Below are 27,393 nucleotides of genomic sequence, written 5' to 3' on the forward strand. Positions count from 1 at the left end.
AGTCACCCATTCTTTCTGAATAGGCATTCAGAAATTTTATGTGACTTCCTCACAAATTGCTATTAAAAGAAATCAGTAACATGAATTGGATAAAATTTTCATTCTCCGCAAGGCCATAAAACAACTCCACACTGGCAAATCAGTAGCGGAACCAGGAATTTACCAAGGATGTCTGACACCTAGTTCTGGAACTCACCATTAAGCCTCACTTCCTCCCTTACAAAAATAAAAGGATACCCACTAAGTGTTTTTATACACTCTACTAATGCCTTTTAGCATACAACACTCAGTGTACTTTTCTCAAGATATTTATAGTTTCCCCTCTGAAGGCTTGTTTTTATATATCGTAGCAAGTGATGGATTAAGAGAGAGCAGGATGACATAGAGAGGCCAAGTAGCCTACAAATTCACTGTACCTTGGCACAGTTTTCACATTCATAGTGCTTTCCACTGTCATGTGACATCTGGTGGCGAATTAAATTGGACTTCCAGTTAAATGCCTTGGGACACTGATCACACTTGTATTCCCTCTCTTCAGTATGTGACAGCATGTGTTTCTCCAGGCTGTTAAGAGAACAATAGATTTTAAAAGACAAAGGATGCATTCATAAACGGAACAACATTTTATTGTTAATCCAACTGGTAATTAAAGAAACAAGAAGGAAAAGGAGTTGAACTGAGAAGGAGGGAAGAGCAGAAACAGGCTTGTGACAGACAAAAGTGCATTTTATATTTCCTGGACTGTGTCTCCTGGACTGTGTCACCAATATGAAGATGTGTTCTTGTTGTTAGAAAATAAATCTGATACAGCTGGCAGGGATTATCTGCCAATTTAAAAGCATGATAAACAACAAGCTATTTGTCCAGTTTTGGATTCACTACACAATTCTAACAACAACACGTATTGCTAATACTCACTTAATTGAAACACAATTAAGTGAGTATTAAGCTCACAATTAAGTGAGTAGTCAATTAAGTGAGTATTAAGCTCACTTGTGAGCTTAATACTCACTTAACTGAAACACAAACACTCAAACAGAAAATGCTTAAAAGTATTCTGTCTAATGTATATAATCTCTAGTGAATCTAGGATGGACAGATGGATGGATGGATGGACTGATGCATGGATATATGCATGGATGTGTGTGTGTGTGTGTGTGTGTATCATATATATATATTACATAATATATAAAACCTAAGAATTGGGGAGCAAAAAAGTGTGTAATATTTTAAGTGGATGCAACATTTAAGTCCCCTAAAAGAAAAACATGATTAGAAGTTTCTCACAAGCATAGTTTCTCTGTTTTAAAGTTTAAATTGTTTTATCTTCTCAAATGTTTGCCCCCATTTTCTAAAATTTGTATATGAAATCTGCATGAATATAATGAAAAGCAAATATTATAGATAATGGATTATGTGATAGAAGATGTCTGCAACACCTTTATTGATTAAATACATAACACACTGGGATACTACCCCCAAATAAAGTAACCAGAGCTCCGTGGTAAAATAGCTTATTTCAAATCTGAACTATGAAATTCACAAGATGGCCCTTGAACATCTTGTTATGACAAAAGGCAAGCAATTTATAGATAATATCCAAAAAATTAGGGTTCCAACTTGAAGAGATGCCCACTGACCAAAGGTGGGGCAAGTGAAGCATCAATAAGAACAGCAACTCTTTTATCAATAAAGATATTCAAAACACAAACAGAACCCCAATGGTCTCCCAAGGAAGATGCAGGAAAGCCAAATCATTATTCCTAAAACTGGTAAATAAAGGGAAAATATTTGTGCACATATCTGCTTTTCCTATGTAAACTGCACTTTGGGGTAAACAAATAGGCTATGAAGGGAAGGTTCTCTACGCGAAATTAATCCAGGTAATAAATGATGAAACAATGATAGAGTTAGAGTACATTCGTTTTGAAGCTCCTAAAGAATTAATGAATCTAGGCAATCCATTATGTGACTTCGGGTAGAAATAAATGGCACCATCAATGAAATCTTCTTGGTGAAACACTGAGCGTAAATCCCAGCAAAGGCTTGGGATGTAACTACAAGTCTATAGGAAATTAGAGGGGATAGAGAAAGATGTTAACACCACAATGATATAAACAGCAGAATCCAACTCAGTTTCTTCTATAATTTTCTATAAATAAATTGTAATAAGAGAAAGAAGGTGGTGGAGAGAGAGACAGACAGAGACAGAAAGAGACAGAGAGAGACACAGAGAGAAAGAGACTGCCCTCTGGGGGAGCCTTTAGATTCAAATAGTCATAACAGACTTGTCAATCAATTGCTATATGTGGACTTTATTTTGATCTTTATTCAAACAAAACAGTAAACTTTATAACTGAGGAAATTTGTGCTCTTACTGAATATTTGATAATATTAAGAAATTATTTTTAATGTGGTATTGAACTTATGTTTTTAAGGAGTCCTTACTTTCTATAGACACATACTGAACTATTTTTGAATAAGATGATATACTGTCCAGAATTTGTTTCAAATAATTCAAAGCAGGTATAATGACAAGATTGGCTTCATGTGATAATTATTAAAGCTGAACATATGGGATTTTAAAAATCCTATCCGCTCTCTAGTTTTGTGTATATTTGAAGCGCTCCACAATAAAAAACTTATTTAGAAAAGAAAAAGTACCAACCATGAAAGCATTCTTTTATTTTCTTTTATTTCTTTGTGTGATGAATGCTATAAATATCAGTACCAATTAAGACCTTTGTGCACCTAGAATAAATTATCCAGTGGTCATACAGACTGTGTGACTGGGAGTATATGTAAGAAAATGAAGTGCCCATTCTCATATCTTGATAAATTAGAAATGCATTTCCTAATTTTCTCTTTCTCAGCTTCCTCCCCACAACTCTATTCGTACTGGCACAAGAACTCATTTTTCCTGCCCCATGAATCAATTGAGTTGGAAATGCTATTCTGAGCACAGGTGGTGATACCTCTGTGAACAAAAGGTACTAGGAGAGTACAGGTGTGTGGAGTCATAAGAAAGGCCCTAACTTTATCTACGATATGTAATCCTCTGTTTGTTACAGAGTGGAATGTTAATAAAAGAGTTAAGACAGAGATACCAACAACTGTCGTTAACATTGAAATGAGTCAGGGACATCCTCCAAAATCACTGTACAGATTGCAATTCTCACTGTCCGTCCCTAGCAACCCATACAGGCAAGCCATTTTATGATATATATTCTACTATGCTATATATCAAATCATAAACCCTGAAATCTAGTGGCAAAAGCTTGGCCTATATGTTGAGTTTTATTCCTCCCCCTAATTCCAAGGATATGGTTTAATTTTAAGAGTATATTATGAACATGTAGGTGTAAAAAGATAACAAAGCAAAAGGAATTTTCCCTTCTTTGTTTCTAATCGGGCAGAAACTCCATATTGTTCCATAGTATTATTAGCTTCCAGCTAATCAGTAATAAAAAGCACAAAAAAGCAAGTCATTTTCACAAAAGTAAATGTGCATTGCTTTCATAAACATAGAAGCAATGCAGTCAGTCAGTGAGACTTCTCTGCTTTTCGTGGAATTTTATCTCAATCTATAGAGCCTTGATCAGACTTTTGAGTTCTTTTCAGTTCTTTTCACCTTTTGCACATTGACCTTTGTTTCTTTCTTGCTCCTATTTTTTTGTTTGCATTCTTTTCTCAAGATTTTACATAAAGGATAGACAGCAGAAGAACAGATCAAATCCAGAAAGTAATTTTTGTCATTTAAAGCATAAAGTGACAACATAGCATTCAATAAAGGAAAAAATATTCAGAAAATAAAGGTTCTGAATGTGGCTAGATCATATAATTTATAACCAAAAATACCAGTTGGAGGATTAGCATTCAATTGCATAGTGACATGCTTTATCCATATGGCTGGACTACCAAAATATAAATGTTGAGAATTCATGCAATGACAGATAATTAGATTTCCTTATTGTTTTCTACTAAATGTTTGACTGAATCAACTAAACTAACAGTTGGTTTCAGCATTAGATAGAGTTGACTCAGGCTTAATCTTACAGCTAGGCAGATTAAGAGGCTTTCTCCACCCAAGAAGTATTGCTGTACACTCTTAGTAGAAAGTAAGAATTACATTTTAGTGTTTAGTTGGTCAATTTTTGCTTTATAATGCCGTTCATTATTTTTTATAACACAACTGAAGGAAATGGACTTTATTTCTGACACCAGAGATATTACTTTACAGTTTAAATATTTTTTCCTACTCATTTGTATTTGTTAGCTTCATTTTTTTTAAATTTGGGCACAATTATATTAAAGGGACATGCTGTGGCTTTTTTATTACAAATCCACACTTTACTAAACATACATAATTGATTTATTCTCTATGAAGATTTATATGAAGTGGCAGAGGTGAGTTTAAAAAGTTCTGGGAAAGCCCTCTTGTTCGGTAAAATGTTTACTCTCTAATAGCTAAATTAGTCCTAAATTTTCAAAGCTAGATACTTATCCTTTCTATTCAGTCTTCTCAACAGAAAGGATTATGCTTAATGCCTTTTAGTCATTTATGCCTTAAAATGAACTACTAGATGAAATCCTTTCCTAAAAGAGGCGTAACCAGGAGAAGAGGATATAGGGCTAAACATGAGGTGAAAATGAGAGGAAGAAAAGGATCCAGGAAAGAAGGAAAGGAAACAAAAGGGTAAACTGAAGTTGGACTGTCAAAGACAAAATCTGAGTAATTCCCATTCTTGAGTAAGGCCATTTGATATACTACCATTCCCATTTAAATATAATGTGATGTTCATTTAAAATTCTGATTACAAGTTTCAAGGATAATTTCCAGATTTAAAAGCAAAATAGTGAATACAATTATTAAAATTATTTGTGGACCAAGGCAAAAATCATTAGGTAGAAACAAACAAAAAAACCCATTAACTGTTCTAAACTGTTCTAATCTTAAAGACCATTCTGTAGTACAATTAGTATATACTTTTCAAAAAGTAGGTTCTAGTGTTGTTATCAGCAATTTTAAAAAGTTATAGAATAAAATTCAAAAGGCTATAAAAAGTTAATATGTCACTGAAATATAATTTTTATTGTGTTAAAAATAAGTGTTAAAGAATTACTTCATTTACGTTATTGTGTTTCTCTTTTTCCTTTTAGGAAATTCAACACTTTGGGAAATCAAACATGCTTCTCTTATTCTTTTATATATATGTAATTTAGATCAATTGTTGAAATTAAATCCATGAATTACTGCTCTATCAAAAGATCATTTACCTGTCATTAAGTGAATACCAGATCTAGTCCTTTAAAAAATCATCTGAATGTTCCTAGGGGTAGCTTTATTGTTTCTTGACATATGATTACTTTAATTTGTTCCAGCACTATATTTTCTCTAAATCACAATTTACTATAAAGTTAAGCCTTCAGTTTTTAATAACACTACTTAATAATAATATAACATTATTTTTCATCTGACATCAAAATAACTAATTCCAATTTCACTGTAAATGTTTTACAGATGAGAATATCCAGGCAAATATGATTTCTGAACATGTCACGAGTGCATTTGTCCAGCTCACTGGAGTTCCAAATTTTCCATCTGCACAAAGCCTCAAAATTCAGCATAACATTGCAGAAAAAATACACAAGTTGTATGGTACAACATGCCATTTCTAACCTTTGCAAATCAGGAAAAACTTGGTCACATTCCTTACACTCCTGGATCGTGTGTATCTCTTGGAGATCATTCTCGCTTTCGAGTTTTTGCTGAAAGTCCTCTTCAACCATTGAAAATGCTGAGTGAGGAGTACTGCATGGAAACTTTTGGTGATCTGCTAGTTCAGCCTTAGATTCAAAGAGCTGGTCACAGTCTTCGCAGCGATATTGCCGTTCTTCTGTGAAAACAATTCAGGTGTTAGGATTGGGTGGTCAGGAATTGCCATCACAAACCAGCCAATCTTACCAAATTTTACAAGACATAATAGGTATTATTTGATTGTCATTTCTATCTTGTCAATTTTAATCTGGATTAGAAATATCATATGTAAAGAACCAAGGACAGAGACTGGAACAATAACATAAGCAATGGCTGTGACTAGAGTATATTCCTCCTGATCAGTAAAACTTTTTGACTAAACCTTTTCAGGTCCAGAGAATACTAAAAATAATAAATACGACTTACTGAGCATCATATATTTTCTCAACCCTGTATGTGGATTACTGACATTCCTTAAAACCTGATTATGAGGAATTGTAAGTCAGATTTTTATCCTGGTTTTCAGATGAGAATTTCAGGTTCACAGAAGTCAAATGTAAACAGTCAGGGAGTATAGAGCTATGTGGCTGTATAAGGTTTTGAAACCATTTCTATTCCATACACTTCTTATTATGCCAGTGCCATATTATCTGGAAAGAACATGGGACACAGAGTCCCTATCTGAGCCATGTTTAACCTGGTTAATGTCAGCAAACTTGGAAATAGTTTAACATTCATCATCACTAATAATGGGACACAGGATGTTTTTAGTACCCTTCTAGGCTAATTTATGTTACCCCAGGGTCAGTGCTAATTGTCATAGCTTTGTTAAATAGAAAACATATCATTAATTTGCACTTTAAATCAATAAGATAAATAAATGGTAGTAGTGTGGTATAGAGATAACAAGGTTATAAAATGTCAGGTAGTGATGGCATTGTTTCTATTTTTGTCTTTTGAATAGCTTTCAGCCCACTCATAAAGCCACACTCCGCACAGATCACACAGATACAATCACAGAAGTCTTGAAAACAGCTCACACTGCTAAAAAATACCCACGGCAAACAATATGACACATAATCCCTCTTTTATAGACCTATGGCCAAGGAAGATGTTACTCTTCAATTGTTCATTGACTGAATGTTTTGGGGGGAATACTTTAGTCCAAGAATTCTTTTAGTCAAGTATTCTTTTTCTGAAAAGAGGTTCAGAAAAGGCTCTGTAATGAGTAAGAATCAGCCAGGTGAAGTGGAAGGAGGGGGCACATTTCGGGAAATGGGAAGAGACAGAGGCAAAAAAGAACATGGCACATCCACAGAAAGGTAGAGCTGTAGTAAAGTATGGTAGGTTCACAGAGCACATGTAAGGGAGGAGTGGAAAATGAAGCTGGAGGGGGTGCAGCTCACCAGGGGCTTTATAAGTCTATGCTAAGAAGGAAAACAGCCATTGAAAGTGGGAAAGCAGGGATATATTCAGACTTGGTTTTTAGAAGAATTTTCCCAGTTTCAGTATGAGAAGTCAAGCAGAGAGACCAAGTGAGACACTGCTGCAGAAATCCACATAAGATGCTGGTTTAGTTTATACTAAACCAGTAACAGTGGTAACAGAAATCTTTGGATTTAGAGGGTCGAGAGAGGGAAGTGTTCTAAAAAAATCAACTTGGCTCTAAAGACAGGATTCTCAATGACATTAGCTGGTTAGGAGAAACATTTCCTATAGTCTGTAATACTATTCATTTGTTTAAGATCTATATTTAGGACCTCAGCCAGGAGTCCGAACACAAGCAGAATCTCTAGGCCACATCATGCATGGAAAAAGCCTAGGTATCAGAGACAGCAAAGATTTTGGGTTGAATGCTGACCTCACCACTTACTAGCCATGCATTCTTGGACAATTTACTTAGCCTTAATTAGGTTCAGTTTCCCTATATGTAAAATGGATATAATTTCTTTCCCACAGGTTCTATGCATAAAAGAGTAAATGAGACAATATAGAGAGAGTATATAATATCTATCATATAGTAGGTGTGCAATACATGTGTTTCATTTTCTTTCCTAGGAAGAGTTGAATCCTAGAAGTATAAAATACAAATCATCATTTAAATATTATAAGAATTATATGTAACATATGTAGTGTATGTATGGATGTAAACATGATATGTTGAAAACAAGAAGCAACTGATGGGTTCAAGAGTGTTGTAAAGGAAAGTAATTTATGAATGGCAGCCCTAAAAGAACAGTCACTTCTATTTAAAACTTTTGGAGTATTAACCTAATCATTAATATTAAATAAAAATAATTGTTTGAAAACCTTTTTAGGTCTAACATTTACAGATGAAATATTCATTGCACCAGAGAAAGCCCAGATTGCAGTTCTTCATCATCTAAGAACTCCTTGCTGCCGAAGAGCCCTTTCCCATTGGGCCAGACACCCTCTTCAGGCTCAAACTCTACCAGGCTAATTGGGAACTCTAGGTTTCTAAAGCTATTTGCATGTCAGAGTTGCTAAGAGGAAAATGAGTACCAAAAGCGCCCCCCGCCCCCGCCGCCAGCCCTCCCCCTCCCCCTGCAAATACAACTACTCTTGTATAACCTACAAAGAGGCAGAATGCAGTCCAAAGGAAAAATTGTTCAAGTAAAGAGAACCCGCCAAGAGTGGCAGCTTCCTGGAGATATAAAAGCAAAAGCTGAGATTTTCCCATCTGGGATGCTAAAGAGATGAAGGGTGGTGATCCCTGACTCTGTGATGGGTTGGAATGGGTAATCCTTCCCAATAGACCTTCCAACTACAAAATATTCTAAAGATGCCACTAGATTATGTTGAACCAAATCACAGTATACTTGGACACAGAAAGAGGAAAAAGAAAAATATATATTAAATTTCCATCTCAATGACACAAATCAATATAAGCAAAATTTTCTCTTTATCTGACCTAAACATGTATCACTACTGATTATCATTATTTTTTATTATCTTTTGATTTAGAATAGGCCTCTGGCAAATAAAAAGTCCTCTGCCTCTATAATTTCTTCATCTATACATTTTTCCCAAGGCCTCTTCCCTGACACCCCTCCCATATGGTCATATTGGCTAAGATTTTCCTGCAGTAGAAACACTTTTCCCAGTAATAGAACATTAGATGACAGAAACATCCCCTTGATTTAGGAAAGCTCAAAATCAAGCTCCCTGAAAGATCCGTTACACAGTGAAAGGATTCTCACCATAAACTAATGCATTGACAAAAGGTTTAACTAGGTGAGGTTCTGCGCAAATGCTCAAAATTCCTTTGACCTCCACTTTAAGGAAGACCTCTGCTTACTTCAGCTTCACTGTAATAGTGGCCAGATGTCAAACCAAGAAAATAGCTGCTTCAAGAGAAGGAACTTGTTGAAACTGACATTGAAAAGCCAGGGAAACTAACAAACACCAGGAACAATGGATGCTTTCGATGCTACTTTATAGTCGCGATGATAAGGTGATAAGGAGGGTGGCGTGAGTGGTACTAACCGTGGATATCCGGCGCCATAGTTTCATGGGGATAGTCTTCGCTCTTCATGAACAGCAGAAGCTCCTCTCCCGGCGCAATGTCTGCAACTACTCTATAGAATATCTTTAAAGACAAAATAAAGGTGGATGGAATCAGGAAAGAGAGAGATGTATATATATTAACAAAGGGCAAGATATACACTAAGATACCTGTACAAACACCTTAACAAACATCTTTTTCTTTTTCTTTTTTATCAAAAGAAGTGTGATTTCCTGTTTTATATATTGAAAACCAGCCCTCTGGTGACAAATGGAAAGCTGTGACTCTCAAGCCAGTTCACAAATCTTTTCCAAATCCTACTTCACAAATCAAATTTTCTTAATGCAAGGCTAGCTGCGTCACATATATCCTGTGTAATGTTTAACGAAGAACTTTCCCTTCTCTGAATCCTCAAAGCACCCTAGCAAACCACACGTACTCACAGAGTTGAATCCTGCCTGGAATTCTCCAGCAGTAGCCTAGCTTACCTTGTACCTTCCCCACTTAAGCAAGTTTGCAAAAGTAGCGCCTTCTCAACAACGTGTTTGGAAGGTAATAGGTTGAAAGGACATGACATAAAGGATCATGACAACAAAGGAGAGTATTTTGTTTTTCAAAACTTAACCCCTCTCTCACCAATCAGAAGGGTGCTCCCATACCAGGGTCCTGCCCTCAGGCCCAGCTCCTGATCCTCTCTCTTTGAAAGTAGGCATTATGCATTTTATTGATTCATTTATTGGGGTGGTGGGGGTGGTGCTTATTCCCCTTGCTTTCTAGCAAAGTGCTGAGGAGAGGAAGCATTTAATAAATCTGTTAATGACTGACTCAAAAGCAGTGGAGCAAGTGTGGAAAGAACCCTGACCTGAAATTTCCAAGAGCCACTGCCTTTCTCCTGAGCAGCTTGGTGACTTAGGCAAGTCATTGTCCAACTTACCTGTCCAGGGACCAGGTTTTTTGTTTTTTGGTTTTTGTTCATTTAAAAAAGCTTTTAAGCATGAAAATCTTTAGATGTTTATTCATTCTACCATAAAAATGTCATCAGTTTTTTTTCATTCTAAGGTTATTTATTAAACAATCCCATAATCAGATAGAGGTTTTAGAAGAAAGAATGAAGTTCTACGATTAACTGGTGAAAATGAGACCAATTATATTATACCACAGTATCTTTGCAAAACCCTAGAGTACTCTGAGAAGGAAATTATTCCTTTGCCTCATATATTCTTCTCTCTCTTTAACAGTGCCAATAAGTCTTTTCTCCCAATCTTCCTAAGAATGTCCACAAACAGAATCAATCTCTTTTTTCTTTTCTTTTTTTTTTTTTTTGAGACAGGGTCTCAATCTGTTGCCCAGGCTGGGGTACAGTGGCATGATCACAGCTCACAGCAGCCTCAACCTCCCTGGGCTCTGGTGATCCTACTACCTCAGCCACCTGAGTAGCTGGGACTACAGCATGCAACACCACACCCAGCTAATTTTTGTATTTTTTGGTAGAGATGGGATTTCACTGTGTTACTCTGGCTGGTCTCGAACTCCTGGGCTCAAGCAATCTGCCCATCTAGGCCTCTCAACGTCCTAGGATTACAAGTAAGCCACTGCACCCAGCCCAGAATCAATCTTATTAAGCCAAAAAAGTCCAGATTCTAAATATCTGAGCAAAACACATACACACACACACACACACACACATACACTACCAAAACAATAACACAACAACCACCATCATATTCTAAGAATATATTCTTAGAAGATATTACTGTTAACTATGGTTTTTTGCAAGATCACATGATATTTCAAACTAAGAAAAGCTGCATAAGTTGATGTCTTATAAGATCAGCAGAAATGCTCATACTTTAATTTTATTTATCTATTTATATTTTGGAAAGATGAGAACTTTGTACGTGCCTCTTTATTCCAGTAGGTGGCTCTAAAGTCCAATTGTTTATTTTTCTATAACAAGACCGGAGCACAAAATTGTGCTAAATTTGAAAAATAACTTAATGAGGAGTATTTTCTGCTTAGCTTCTTTCCTGTCAAAATAAAATAATTTTTTTTCATTCAATAGTAGTTGAACCACCTGAAGCTGGTTTATAGAAAACAATGCTAAACATAAAATGTTGCTATAATATGTTATAATATAACCTAAGATTCTTTGTATTTGTCCACAGATAGAATCCAGACTAACTTGGCAAAATTACTCCTCATTATGTGCTGTTTCTATAAAAAAAATAGTTTATTTGCACTTTGTATCCTATTAACCCTAGCTGTTCACATTTTCTTTTCCTTGGAAGTACACTGAGAACAGTTCTTTTTAAAGATTACCAGATTTAAAATAATAATAAAATAATGTGTGAGTTTGCTTTTTTCCCCTAAACTTTCCAGTTAAATACTTATAAGTACACTGTTTCATTCTGGAGTTCTATTTCCCCTTAGAAAACAATGGACTTCTCTCAACAGTTTGAATCACCTCTTTTTTTGGCATCTCTCAAAGGTTTAACTTATTAGCTTCCTTTCCAACAACATGTTGACATTTGAATTGTGACATATTAGAACTTTTCGGTGGCTTCTCGGAAATAGTGAGGTTAAAGAGACAATACCCTACAAGACAGTAAAACAGTGCAATTGTCTCTATTGGGGAATACTACTTAGACACACGTCAGGTCATTTTAAGAGAGTATTATGATATCATTATTTCTTTGTAGTCCACTATTAATCATGTCTCTTTTAATTCCATTTTAGATTTACTCAATCCAATGTGAACAGTCTAAGAAACAAAAGAAATTGATGGATACACTGTAACTATATATTATAAAGACAATTCTCTTTGCCAAGACATAGATCACTACTGTAATTTCCCTTTAAGAGTCCAGATTGTCATGTGAAGAATATTGAGTGCATACAAAATAAAAGACACGGAAGAGTGTTGATGTTGGCTTTATTTACTGGAGGTAAAAGGTGACATTCCAAGCCATGAAAGGCAAAGAAAAGCAAAGTGGATTTTAACTTCAGGGTGTTCTTTTCAATTTTAAGTGAGTTTTTATGGTGCTCATGAAACTGAGGTTTGAAAAGAACTGGCAAGCGCCAGATATAATGAGGGCAGATTCTGGGCATGCTTCCCCATATAGCAATAAGAATGTCCCTCGAAGTTCCATTTGCCATACCCTTACCAAGCTAGTCCTTTTCTCAAGGTGTTTCTACCACCTGATCTTCATTACCTCTCATCCCTTAGGGTTTTGGAGACACTTAAGCAACATTGTTTTCCTCTTCTAATTACAATGGCCCAAAAGTATAATTTGAATCCTTGAATCTAGGGATGTCTACATATAAATTTAATTTACTTTCTAATAACATTAATGGTATGCCAGCAGGCATTTGAGAAGAGACAGGAGTAATTTAAATGAAAACAAAATGAAAATTTGTAGCCCTGAAACAATATAGTGGGGAAATGATGGGATGTCATCTTAGAGGAATCAGGCCTTTCAGAAAATATACTTTTATGTTATAAAATAGATCTTTCAGCAAATAAAAATGCAACAAAGGAGTGATTTATATAGATTTTCTCACATATTTGTATATAATAAGTATGTTTGACCATGCTTATAAAATAGAGTTATAATGTCTTTAAAATCTGTATTCTCAAAATCTTGAGTATATTGCAGTCCAGTGAATTACATACCATCTGTGTTATGTGCCATAAGCAGAGACACTACTAATATAACTCTCTCATTTTTGTGTTGGAGAAAAATGGAAGGGAGTCAATTAATCTGTTAAGTTCCATAAAACAGTTAATAATGGGTCTCTTCTCCTATCAGGGTTTTATGTAAAAAGTTCTCTGGATTCAAAATAAAAATATCCTGGATCTGAAATTTTGTAATGAATATACCCCCAATAAATAAAGAGAGGTTCAAAAATATTCAACACTTAGAAAATTTTGAGTTAATATGAAAAGGTTGTTCATTTGTTATTTTTGCTCTCTCTCTCAGAATGTTCTATGAGAAGAAAAAACTCAATTCTTCCCAATATAAGGTGAAAGACAAGAAGAATGGGGCCTATAAGAAAATAGATTATATGGAAATTCCATTTTTTTAAAAAGTCATAATAAATATTTTAAAACCGTGTTAACTCCTCCAAAACTTTCTATTTGGTAGCTAATACCAAAATCCAGAAGCACAACATGTTATGAACTAACCTAACTCCCATACATCTGAAACTTTTGCCAGTTGAGATGGTTTTTTCATTTTATCACATAAAAAATTAAATTTTCCCAGTATCTTGCTAGACTCTTTTTATTTTTCTATGAAGCAATATTTGTGCCTTTGTAAGTATGAATATTATATTTGGATCTCTGGATACCTCAATTTATAAGGATAAGTTTTTATAGTAAATGTTTTAGTAACAGATTTCTTCATGTTCTTTTATTTTTAAAATTTGTTCAAATAGCACACTAGTGAAATTTCTAAATGTTTATTTAAAATTCTAAATGATTCAAGTAGTTGAAAAGTAAAACTAGAAATCCAAAATTGTTCAGTTTTACCACTGGTAAAACCCACAGCTTAAGGCATAATTATAATATTATACATGTATATAGAAATTAAATGCCCTAAACAGAATTATTATAATTAATTTATTTTAATCAAACCCTGAAAGCAATTCCAAATGCAAAGAGAATATCCATTCAGCTAATACTCACAAGGCTAAGTTAAGTATAAAAGACAGTGGTGATATGAAATTGATTGAGCAAATTTAGACTTCCAAACTGTACATTTTCATGTGGTGTTATTTATAAATATAAATGTGCTTAGATATATTACATATTTTATAATTTGACATAAACATGGCAAAGTATATGTTTTGGAGAAATTTTTAAATTTTCATATTAGTAATCTCATGTATATAATTCTATATAATAAGAATGAATGCTTCATGGCACATGATTAATTCTTATTATATATCATACAAGTTATATGTAATTATATATTATGTTTTATAAAATTTATATTATATATACTTGGAATTAGAATTAATCATATATCATTATTCATTTTATTTGGTTAAGTCCAAGATGACAGCAGTAAAGCAGGCATAGACACTCATAAGCACTTTGATAGGAAAGTTAATATGCCATAAAAGACTTTCAGTCTAACTCTGTTTTATACTTTGAAGGACTGCTTTCAACCAAATCCTCTATCATTAGTTTTTTCAAATGGTAATCAGGTGGGTCTTGTTCATTATACTAGAGAACAAAAATCTGGAATCTGTCAGATTCTTTATCTGTGGATTGATTTGAAGTATTATGTTTGTATTGTTGAGACAGAAAAGTTCTGCACACAAGGGGGAAAATAAGAAAGAAGGAAAACACATTTACTTTTAAAAAGATGAACAAGGCTTTATTGTTATGAATCCCCGTTTATTTTTCCTGATCAAACACTGGAAGTTTTATTTATGCTTAATAGACTGCATTTGGCATGTCTAAAAATGACAGAAGCGTGAATTATGAATGACCTTCAACCTATGCAGGAAGTTGTAATAATTGAAATAATAGAGAAATATACTCCCAGCAAAATCTGTACTGAGAGAAAACCTTTTCTGGCTATTGGTGTCTTTTCACTTTGAAGTTAACAGTTGATTTCTTCCTCTTCCAGCTCCCAACATTTGGCCTAAATGCTTTATTTTCTATACCTTCATTCAATATACTTTCTGAAGACAAGGAAAAGCTGAATGGAACTTCAGCAATTGGAGGGTGGGTAGGAGAGGAGGTAGGTAGCCGTTTGCATGTTTGAACAAAGTCAGCATTTCATATGGACATATCTGTCAGTCTTGGTACTGCAGAGAGGTGGCATCAAGTCTACAGATACAATATATGCATTAGGAAACATAGTCTGGACCCTGATCTATCCATAGTAATGTGGGAAACTCCAATTCAGGAATGATGTAAATTTTAATAGGAGTATCTGCAGGAAGGATCCTATTATACATTCTGAGCCTAATTAATAAGAGGTAAAGAGAAGTGTCTTCAGCAGAGATTGATGACTGAACATAAATTTGTTCAACACTATGGAAGCTTTATCATGGCTAAGCATTGCCAAAGCAAATCACCCTTAGTTTCTCCAAAGAAAAAGTATCCCATATTTGTCTTCAGGGTCACAGTCTAAAGACAAGAAAATATTAATTGAAAAAGATCAAGTACTGCCTTGCTATATCCACTTCCTAAATGAAAAATATGACTCCACGAGACCAAGATATCTTTGGTGTGGAATTTTTTTCTTCTCCACATCTTTATCTCTTTGTCAGTAACATGAAGAGAAAACCAAGTATAACTTATTGAATGAAACAAAACAGAGAGAGAATTGTTAGTTCTAGTTTGCATAAATACGGCAATTGATAAAGATGCACATTATTATACACGAAGCTTACAGTGTACCCAGCCTGAAAGCCTTGCAAGATGTCTCCTTAAATAACCTCTGAGGGTCTATCTACAGACCCCCCAAAAATATCCATTAGCCACCTGTCTTTAATGTGGTCATTTCATCTGACTGTATAAAAACTGATGTTCATTTTGAATGGTTTCCAAACCTTTGGGAAGAGTTCCATCATTACATTACAAAGAAGCTAAAAAGATCATCTTTGGTGTTTTACTTGGCTGGAGGCTTCTCTTGTGTCCTTGACCAAAACATTATCCTCCTTCATGGCTTGTAAAGCATTCTTATGACTTTTATATGCCCTCCCAGAAATAGTTACAGTCTATTGTGTATGTGATGCTTTGTGATCTTCCTGAATGAAAGGCGATATATACATGCAAACACTAACTACTTAAAATGTACACTTAATACTTCAGGTCACCCTCTCTTTCAACTTATGCAGTTTGTGAATCTTAACAAAAATCCTAGCGTTATGTCAGTGTTGCATCCTAGGTATTGTTACATGAAGGAAACTTCACTGGGGCAGGGGATGAGGTGATGTTTGTTTTATGATGTAAAAATCAAATGGCAAACTATGTTTGAAAGAGTTTCATCTTCAGGTGAAGGAAGTAACTTGTCAGCCAGACAACATCCCCCCAAAGTCAGCTTAGGCACTGTTCACAAAGCCAGTCTCTGGGTATTGCCAGCTGGCATTCATCTTAAAACAGCAGAGCATAACTTTGGTATAAAAGTGGAACTTGACTTAAAAGCAAAGCAAAGAAAATGCCCAAAGCCAATAATAACTTTAACATCAAAAGAAGTGGTACAAAATGTGGACAGATACCCTTGTAAAGGAAGAGCAAATTAACAAATTACCTGACAGTAGACACAAACATTTTTAAAAAGTATAAAGAGGGTAACAAATTACATTTTTGCAGTATACATAGCTAATCTACCTTGCTGTTTTGCACAAATTGTACTAATCGAAAGATGCAGGAAAGTGGATTTTTTTTCATAGTAAAATCCAAAGAAAATAATAATTGAGCCCATAATAAGCTCACAATAAAATGCTGTTCTAGTGTCACAGCAGTCTGATATAATCATTCACGTGGACCTAAGGAGAGCGAACGCGGGGTGCCACATCAGCTAGGATCGTCCTGGAAGCAGTTAAAACTTTATAAGGTAAAGCACAAATGAGAACAATGCCTGTTCCAACTGAAAACACTGTAGAGTCTTGTTGCCGTTCATTAACCACAAGGGAGCTGGCAGAATCCTTAAGTGAATTCTGACTTTGTATTCTCTGAGGGGCACTCATTCTTCTGTAACTCATTTCTTCAAAATATACATCAGGCATTAGATAATCTCTTATCGACACATTTCTTTTTATTCAGAGTGAACAGCAGACTTCTCTTTTTCTACTTACTAAATACCAGCTGTCAAGGGCCTACTTAAAAATGAAAGGACTTATCACCTTGTGTAAATGACAAGATTAATAATGTCTTGGGTTTCTGAGAACTTTATTCTACTCATAGACCATGTTAGGGCAGGCCAGGAGTGTGTTCCTTCTTATGGTACAGAATACACACACACTTACATATACAAAACATTATCCCAAAGTACTCGCCCAGATCATTCTAACTATCAGTGGAAAGGCAGATTTCATTTAAGTCTAAAAAGTCAACTTACATAAATTGTATTAATTGTAAGTGGAAAGGCAGGTCTCATTTAAATCTAAAAAGCCAACTTAGGTAAATTGTGTCTTAGTGACTCTCTGATTATTACCAATATGTTTTCACTATGAAGATGTATTAGAGTAAAGCTGTTGTGTCCAGAGAACTACTCCATAAGTACCCAAACTTTGTGAATCTATTCAAACATGAGAACTGGCCTTGTCTGAGGTGGATGGGGGTCTATGGGTAGGTAGCCCTGGTTCTGATCCAGGCGAAGGGTATATGTGGGGTCAAAAGGAGACTTATCAAAGGATGGAGAGAGAGGTGAGAACAGGGTGAGACCGACCAAACCTAAAGCAATGAGTTATGTCCACCAATCAAAATGGTTTGTAAAAGTAAGACAGCTACAAGACTTTAAAGGAAAGAATATCTAAATAACTAGTTTTCTTTAAAAAAAAAAAACAATATATCATGTAGATGTTTGGTTTACTTCACATTAAACACATAGGTGCTTCTGTATGTAAATGAAACCTCTGAATAATGAAAAAAAAACATTTTTATGCTTCCTCTCTATATTGGTCCTCTTGAGGACCTAGTCTGGAAAGAGATTTCCTTAACCAACTCTCTGCTTTTGCTCCTACCCTGCTCTGCCTTTCAGGGCCAATTCTTGCTCCTGAAAGCAACCAAGGATAATTTCAGGTTGTTAGAATGTAAATATTTAAGCATTGTCTGTCTCAGTAAAAATTTCCAGCTAAACACCGTGCCACAGCCATAGACCTATGTAGCATTGTAGAGAAACTTTAAGGGAAAAATAATTAGAATGTTAAGGATAAAGAGACTTGGGTATCTTTAATGGATCTATTATTTTATGACTTGAGTGTGACTGTGACTCAATTGACTAGTGTCTTTGGTATAGCTTCTTTCATAGAGGTAAATTACTGTAGTTAATACATTTTTTCAGGGGTGAATAAAGATATCAGTCAGAAGCCACAGCTACTTAGAAATTATGGTTTAGCAGTGATGTCAATGTTTTCAGAATGTGCATCTCCAAAAACATCACTGCAATAATTTTGGAAGCATGAAATGAAAGAGACGTCTAAAATCACAAAACTTGAGTCTTTCTAGGCAGCACTGACAAGAAAGAAAGCTGCCACAAAGCTCATTCTGTCTGAAAAAAAAAAAATCTGAAATGAAATAACTCACAGAAATCTACTGGAAAATTTAAACTACTCAGGAAAATTTCCTTAAATAAAATGCTGGTAGAAAGGTATGGGGAAAGTGGTAACTGGGTTGCTTTCATTTTTATTTTTTCTGATACAAAATAGATTACATCTTTTATCAACTTTACTTAAAAACCAAAATCCATGCTGTTTCTAGAACTTCTTCACCCACAAAGAAATCAAATACAGGTTATCCAGCATACAACATTTTGACTGTCCTTCTACTATCAAACTGTATTATAATCTTAGCAAGCACATTTATTTTCTTTAATATGGCTCCTCCATATCATTAAAAACTGATCTGAATTGATTAAACTTGATCTTTTAACATTAGAATTTTTAAAAATATGTATCTTTGAAAAAGTAAAGTTCAATTTATACACTCTTGTTTTGTCCTGGGTAATCTTTTTATTTCTTTGTTAGATGACCTAATTATTACCATGACTAACTTGCAATTGAAAACTTCATCTCAAATTCCGTTTTTTTAGAGTCCAGGATTTATACCTGTCTTGCTCTAAAATTCACTTGATAAACTTTATCCGTATCTAAAAATCAGAGCAAAGAGAAACACTTTTTATAATTTCTTGTAGAGCGTTCCATTTGCTTTTGTGTTAGACAGGTGAGTTGATGTCATTAATGCTTAATAATTACTCCTATACCAGGGTCTCTCTCTATAGCTAAATATTAAATAATACCTCCCACAATGGGAGTGTTCATTATGTGATGAGTTGTGCTTATTCACCATTTGGCAGCTCCTATTCCTCATGGAAAAGAGAGCAAAAAACAGACCTAGAGAATCTCTTTAGTCAGCTCTTTTATCATTGTACCTAGTCCAACATTCACATTTCAAAGCTGTCTAGAATTGCTAGTTTTAATTGGATTTTAGAATATTCATATGTGCTTATAGGTGAATATGCTTATAATATATGCATACACTATTTGGGTGTCTCTTCCCTTTTGTCTTGTCAATTGGGCTAAGAGTGATTGTATACATCTACACGTATCATACAAATCTGACTTTTACCTCTGACTTTCCTCCCTTGTTGTTTATGGATGAATTTACTTGAATTTCACAATTACATTATTTGATATGCATTCTGTTAGCATCTTAGATTTCTGTCAGCATAAGAGTTAAAAATTACCACTTAAGAAAAATGTGTGTCTAATATTGTCCTTGTCTGTTTTCCCAGATTAAGTATTTTCTCTGATTCTTTAGTCAAAATAAGTAAACACGCTATTCATTAAGTCATAAAACTGGCATATTTTCTTTTGAAAACAATGGATTTTACAATGTATATTTCAAAAGCAACTATGGTAAAATTATAAATGCCTACTCTAATGAGTAGCCTAATTCATAGTGAGAAACAGGAAAACAGTTTCCCTTTGCAATCAAGATTCCCAATACGAGTACATTTATTATAAAACACTACACACATAAATATTAAATGAAAAAATGGCTGCAAATAGACTTAGATTGGCTACAAGTCCCGTTCTTAAATCATCTTTTCACGGATTCTACAACAGTTTTATCTGTCTAAGGAAATAGCTTCCATTGTCAATAAATATGAACAGCAAACAATTATTATGATATGATTATATTATTTCATCTTAAAGCTATCATTTGAGGTCCTCCAGTTCCTTTTGTAAGGAGTATAACATTAATTCACTCACAATACCTATGTATTTCTCACATCTACAGATAGTAGGTACTCAAAAAATATCTGTTGTTGATGGCGACAGTAACTCATATGATAGACGGAATATTTTCTGTTCACAATCAATAGCTAATTTAATAATGTTTTCCCTTGTCAATAATTCCTCTTGTTTTCTTATAGCAAGGAGAAAAAACAATTGATTGGTTTATTATTTTTGATATATGTTGAAGATTTTTAAATGATTTCCATTTAAACCTAATTTTACAATTTACTACCTCTTACACCGTTTAGTCAGTAAAAATTATCTGGTAGCTGGTACGATGCCAAAGAATAATCTCATAATAATGAATGAAATAGAGTCTTAGACCAATTGACAGTAGCTTTATTTAAGTTTTCAATTGGAAACATTTAATTTAAACTATTCTTCTTCTTGATGGTGATTTCATAGTAGATTTGCCAAGCAACCACTTCAATATGGTCTTTGAAACATATTTGATTTAGGAAACCATTGGGTTAAGAGAAATAAATGATTATAACATAATTAAATTCTAGCTCAACAATGTTTATAAAACAAAAATTAATGGGCTGAATTTCTTGTTATTTTAGGTATTGTCATATGATATTACAAGATTCATAACCTAATTTTATTAAGTGTAAAATATGTTTCACGATATTTTCATGATCTTTATTTCACAGTTATTGTTATTAAAGTCAACCTCACTGCATGGTCCTCCATAATGTCACAAAGCAGTTTCCAGCAGGGTTATTTTTAAACTTTTTAACATATACCAAAAAAAGTATTTTAATTAATCTAAAAGTAAGTGTTCTCATTTATAATTAGGCAAATCAATATAAAATGCATAATTAGATAAGATAACACTGATACTATGCATATACATTTCAAATAAAACCTATATAACATTTCAAGTATATCACTTCCAATTTCTGCATAAATTCACAAGATGTTCTTGATTAGCTCAATACCTTTTATGAATGTACCTACTATGATAGCAAAGAAAAACTGAACGGTAGGCAGTAATAATACTCAGTTTTTAAATCAGTCACACCAAGAAAACTGGTGCATTTATGAAGGATACTAGTACAAACTGAATAGACTACCCAAAGAATGTAAAGAAAGTAGTACTAAATATGAATTTGTTCTGCATTTTACTTATATTTGTGCATTATCTTTCACAATATCAACAAACAGGCCACAAGGGTCTACTGCAGCTTACTGTTATTTTTATTCTTCAGGCTCCAGTGATACTTTTGTGCTCTCAAGGAAAGACAAGAAAATCTTTACAACATACCTGATCATTTATCTGGCATGCAACAAGGTTGTGCTGATCATAACAGCCAGCGAATCTAATGTACTTGAGCCAGCTTCCAACATCTGGTTGACTGGCATCTATGCAGAACTTCACATTGTAAAATTCGTCTAAGATCTGGAGGGAAGAAGATGAGAACAATCAATTGCCATATTGGCCCACTCATTAAAATAATCAGTTGTTTGAAAATATTTCATTGAAATGTATATTCCTTCTTTGGATCCTTAAAAAAAGTCAGATCACAAGCACATTAATAGAGGGGAAATGAGAAGTTACCTTGAAAATGACAACATACTGCTTTTTTAAAAAGGAATAAAGCACTTGCAATTTGTTACAAAAACTGATTAATTGGTTTCAAAAATGCTTATTTTCATATGCATAAATTAGTGCTAATTTTATCCAATGTGATTTTTGCAAAAAATAATATTGAACAGCGTATATTAACATAATATTTCTAAACATTACAGTCAATATTTCATATTCGTATAGTCTCATGTAAGCATATATTTTCACATTTTTGCACTTTAATTTAAAAACTTCCATCTAAATTTTTTTTTCATGGTTAGCATCTCATTACCATGAAACAATTAAATCACACTCTTAATTGAAGGAGATAATAAGATTTGTCTTATAGGTGCTTCCAAACAAACTAAAGAAAAACAAATTAAAATAATGAATTCGGAAACACTCATGCAAAGTATGGCAAACTCAGGTTTTAGTTAACACATGTCAACGCATGTTTCAATATTTTGTCTAGTAAGCAAAATAAAGCTGGCTCCTTGTGAACAAATAAAAAATATATTAAAATACTGTAATGAACTGCCATCATTAGGTATACTTGTATCTTGTTATTTTTCATGAAATTTTACATTTGGCCCATCTAAATGTTAATCATTAGTTAGGACACACTAAACAAAAATTGAAGAGGGAAACTTCCATTTTTAAGATCATGTGTACTTAAACCAAGCTATTCTGATTCACTAACAGCAATAATGTCTTAAACATCAATATTAAAAGCTGTAGAGTTGTTGACCTGATGGTGAATAACTACAAAGGATGGTAATGTTATGTCAATCAGTTAATACAAACGAGGAAGTTTCCTATCAAAGACTAAGCAATATACCTAGAACAAAAATTATTGAATTAAATAACTCCTACAGATCTCTGCTGTATGCATAACCACATAAAAGTTAAAATTAAACTCTTGAGTACTGAGACCAAAAGCAATTTTGCATAGAATTCAGGCAATCACCCAATTGCAGATTCAAGTCATTAACTCACCATATACTTCAAGAAAAACCCAGTGCTCCAAGGGCTTTAGTCAAGAAGCCCTATGAATAAGCCTTTGGCCATGAGGAAATTGAAGGGCAATAAGTCGTCCCAAAATTTAAAAAAGAAAAATCGAACATAAGATAGGGATATTATTAAACACACACACACACACACACACACACACACACACACACACACACACAGAGAGAAATCAAACTCTTCTTTTTCAAGGATGCCTCTTCACACTAACAACGACAGAAGTGTACACTTAAACATCCTTTCTATTAAGAGGACAAATTCTAAAAATTTGTTATCAATAAAATTACAAACTTTAAGATGTTTCTTCAACTCTCAGTGCTGAGTAACTCAAATGGCAACTTGAGATTTCCCCCCATCCCAGATGTTGAGAAGGTACATAAATAATAGCAATGCACATTTTTAAATAGTAAAAAGTTGGAGTTTGTTGCTGGGTTTTGTTGGTTTGTTCAGTCTGTTTGGTTTCTGGTTGATCTTTTGTTGTTTGTTTCCTTGACTGGCAAAAAAAAGAAAAAAAAGAAAAAAAGAAAAAGAAAAGGCAGTTCTCCTGACACACCAAAGAAATATTTAATAAAGGACATAGAATAAAGCCAGTGAAATGCAATACTAATTCCATTTCATATTTGCAGAGAGACGTGGAAAACTTGTTAATTTCAAAGTCAAGAAGCATCCATCCCCTTAGCTTTCAAGCATACCCTTTCACAGGGGCAGGGAGTTAAGTATTACATACACTGCACATAAAAATTGTAGGTGTAATTTTATTCCGTGTTAACATTATTAGCATTGCCACTGTCAACAGCAAAATTAATTTTTAAAAAGGTTCATTTCCAAAGAATGTCTTTTTACTAATCTGTTATACGATTATTCAAAGATTTCACCATCATATTAACATTCTTCCTCTCAATATTCTTGCCCCAAGACAAAAGCTTAGCTTTCTCCAGAAACGTTTGCCCCCTGGGTGAATTATTCACTTTTGATTTGCTAGCAGAACTGCATTTGTCTCCCAAATGTCTTAATCGTGTCGGAAATCTCGAATAAAATAAAGTAACGACACATCTTCAGTCATTTCATATAACACACTCCTGTGTTTTTAAAAGCTGTCAACCTCCAAAGATAGCTTAAAAAAAAACCGTTTAGGTAGACTTTAGAGAAAGGCCCTTTCAAAAAACCAACAGCAAAAGGAAAAAAAAAAAAATCCCCACAATCTAGCCAAAGGGTCCGAATGTGACTTTCTCGCGAAGCAGCACACGATGTTGGACAGCAAAGCTGTTACTTGGCAAGGTGGAACTCGGCCGAGAGCGGCTCCAAAGTCGCGTGGCCAGTGCCAGGAATTCAGATTTTGGCAACCGCACCTTGTGCGTCCCCGAAACCGACGGACAGAGACACACGGAGGGAGGGGAAGGAGGAGAAGAGCGCAAGGAAAAGAGGCCGACAAGCCGGCAGAGAAACCCACCGAAGGCCGGACGACCCACCCCGGAGACGTGTCCAGACCGCACCGTTTCGCAGGAGGAACAAGGAAATCGCCCGGCTTAGCAACGTAGATAAGCAGCAGGGCTCCGCGAGACTGCGGGCGAGGAGGAAAGAAGGCTGGGGGCGGGGGGCGCCCGTAGAAACGGTGCCCCGGCAGGAAACTGTCCGAAGTGACAAACTTTCACATCGCCCAGACTTTTTTTCCTTTTAAAGTGAGGAGTTCTCTTACCTTTAGATTTCTATGGCCTCAACTCAGCAATAATAGGCATTCACAGAAGAATCAAAATAAACAAAATAAAATAATCAGCAGCCCCCAACGCTCCTGCACGAAAATCCTTTCAAACGATCCCGAGCAACATTTAGAGATGTTTAAAAATAATAATAATAATTTTTTAAAAGCCTCGCGTCTCGATTTCCAAATGGGTCTCTGACAACTTTGTCCGTCTCTAGGATCTGCTCTCCAGGACCACGCGTTTCGGATTTATTGTCCGCCAACAGTGTATTTTTAATACAAGAAATGAAGTCTTCTTTCGTCTGGGTGACCCGGGTTTGGTGTGTTTTGGCTTTTTCCCCCTTCCTAAATGAGCTCGGAGCTATTCCTTCTGGTTCACATCACCTCCCTCTTTTCTCACTTTCTCTTGCTCTTATCAGCCCGATGTGTAATGAAAGTTATCTGAAACCCACTAAAACTTCTACTTCTCCTTCCCAGTTCCAATGGGGGAAAACAAGCAGGAGGAGGAGAGTTTGAAAAGGTGGGGGGCCTGGGGAGGCGAGGGGAGCTCTATCCCCCTTTCAGATCCTCCGCAGCGCCTTCGCGGGTCCTGGACCCTCACGGGATCGTCCCCTTTCGCAACTCCAAGCTCAGCCGCCGGGTTTCTATTTCATGAACTGTCTCTTTAAAGAGGATCTGCTCGGCCATCCAGAAAGAACCCGGGGCGAGGGAGAAAGGGAGCTATCTCCCGCCGCCCAGAGTGATCTGATCGGAAGCCAGACGGGCTCCTCTTTTAAATTTTTAAAGTGACAGCAGCCTCCTCTGGCGGGAGAGGTCACAAAAAGGTCGCCAAGACCCAAGTCCTATAGGGACAGACTGATTATGGATGCACCATCCCCCTTAAACATGTAGATTTCTCCGGGTAAACAACCAATGGGGAGATCTCGCCAGGCAGGATTTCTTTCCCCAGGGAAATAGCCTCCGTTTCGATGTCTTGAAAGCACAAGTGTGGTGTGTGTGTGTGTGTGTGCGCGCGAGTGTGTGTGTGCATGTGTGTGTGTGAGAGAGAGAGAGATGGGGGATGGGAGGGATGGGGAAGGGTAGAGAAGTGCTTTCAGGGGTGTGAGGGTGTGTGCACCGAGGCAGGAGGGGGCGGGGGTAGGGGGGAGAGGTAGTGCTGGAGTGGGGAGGATAAAGCTTAGGGTATAGGGACGCTAGTTCAGACTAAATATAAATAGTTTAGAAATTCTCAGAAAACAGCAACCTCAAGAGTGAAAAGTTGACATGTACATTTCCAGTTTTCTGCTAAGCATTAAAAAAAATTTTTTTAATTGAAACTCATACTCTAATTTATTCCCTTCATTCTTGTAGCTAGGTCAGAGGAAGGGCGTGCAAAATTTTCAAACCATATTTTTCTTTAAAGATATTTTAAAATCTGAAAAATTATTGGCATATAACCCGCCCAAACAGCATATTATGGGTTTAGAGAGATTGATGACTGTCTGGTGAGTCTTTGCCATTTTCTTTGATACATTAATTAAAACACCTTGAACGCCAAAACGTGCAATAAGCAATTTGACGACTCAGATTATTTTTGAACGTTTAACATCATAAATGCTGCTTTTAGTAATCGGTACTATCCTATGTTTAATAACTTTCTAATATACCTTGGGTACATTTAAACCAATACATTGTAGAAAAGACATTGGAAGAAAGAATACAGGGGATACATAGCAAAACAAAAGGGTCTACAGATTTATTCATGGCCAACTTTGTAAGATTTAGTAAATCCCACTGGCTAAATGGAAGTAAACGCGTTTTTATCACAAAACTCCATTCATAAAAACAAATGGACAAAATCCAACTCCCCAGCTCAACAATGGAAAGTTAAGCAAAGTAAGCGAGTCTAGGGACACTTGCGGGGGAGAGGTGGGGCAAGAGGGGCTGGAAAGTGTGCTGACGGTTAAACTTTAGCTGCAAACGGGATAACACAAGTGCCACCCACTTTTTGTTTTCTCCAAGTGCAAATAAACGTGTAAATCCAGTAGAACTATATTTTCCCAAAATATTGATTTAAAAACAAAAATAGTAGCAAAAGGGAGGGATTGGGGGAGAGAAAATGACAAGAGGTGGTGACTAATTTGTTTCGGTGGCCTGTTATCTGTGACATTGAACTGTTATTTCAGATAATGGCCATTGTTTGAGAGAAAATCGCACAGCAGTGGTAGGTAGGACAGGAAAAATCCTTTGTAAATAACCTAAAACCCGGTCAGATATTCCCGTAGAGTTGGGCGCTTGAGAACCTTTAAGAGCTCCTGGTTCGTGGCCATTGATTTCCTGCCCTCCCTCAACTTGCCCATTGTCGGAGCTTTCTTTTTTTTTTTTTTTTTTTTAATTTAGCCATAAATTGGACCGGCTCGAGCTATGAGCTGTTCTATTTTCTTCCTGTCAGGATGAGGGATTTGTTTTATGATGCATTGTGTATTAAATACAAGTAATCTGGGGAACCGATTGCTTCAGACAGTGCGGCCTGATCAGGGGGTCTGGGAGCTCAGCGCCCCAACCCTGCGGCCCCCACCTCCTTGCCCTTTACAAAACTGCTTTCAAAACGAGGAAACGTCGGTAGGAAAACAAAAGGTCGTCTGGAATCATTGGCAGGTCCTGGCTAAATTAGGATTTCGTGGAAAGGGCCTCCGAGTTTTTTCCCCTATATTGGCTTCGGGTGGGGGGAGGCGGAGCGACTTTCAAGGTCTGGATACTTGCAGGTACGGCAGGACGCCGGTAGATGGCATTGCGCTCCGAAATAAAGCGCAGCGCCGGCGGCTCCAGCCACCCAGGTGAACCCGCCTCTG

The 27,393-nt window shown here is 35.6% G+C and overlaps 1 protein-coding gene across 38 annotated transcripts in view, besides 1 other annotated feature; it reads right to left on the reverse strand.

Moving 5' to 3' along the window:
* MECOM (MDS1 and EVI1 complex locus) overlaps positions 1–27,393 on the reverse strand; it is a 580,206-nt gene that overhangs the window by 38,657 nt on the left and 514,156 nt on the right. For 15 of the 38 annotated variants that reach the window (NM_001205194.2, NM_001366473.2, NM_001366466.2 and 12 more), the window contains 4 exons: positions 21,535–21,669; positions 9,266–9,368; positions 5,681–5,897; positions 417–564 (listed from right to left, as the gene is read on the reverse strand). In NM_001205194.2, coding sequence (NP_001192123.1) covers positions 417–564; positions 5,681–5,897; positions 9,266–9,314 — 414 coding nt within the window. In that variant the 5' untranslated portion in view covers positions 9,315–9,368; positions 21,535–21,669. Of the gene's footprint in view, positions 1–416; positions 565–5,680; positions 5,898–9,265; positions 9,369–21,534; positions 21,670–22,833; positions 22,896–23,154; positions 23,361–24,062; positions 24,143–24,313; positions 24,377–24,559; positions 25,309–27,393 lie in introns of those variants that run through there. The other 23 variants (XM_047447694.1, XM_047447692.1, NM_001366471.2 and 20 more) reach the window with 7 other exon arrangements.
* Positions 27,276–27,335: a silencer, noted in NCBI's record as "silent region_14872". NCBI's record gives its function as "represses an Ori minimal core promoter by ATAC-STARR-seq in GM12878 lymphoblastoid cells {active_cell/tissue: GM12878}" and the evidence as "EXISTENCE:reporter gene assay evidence [ECO:0000049][PMID:35858748]".

Source organism: Homo sapiens, chromosome 3 (genome assembly GCF_000001405.40).
Source record: "Homo sapiens chromosome 3, GRCh38.p14 Primary Assembly".
Classification (NCBI taxonomy): Eukaryota; Metazoa; Chordata; class Mammalia; order Primates; family Hominidae; genus Homo; species Homo sapiens.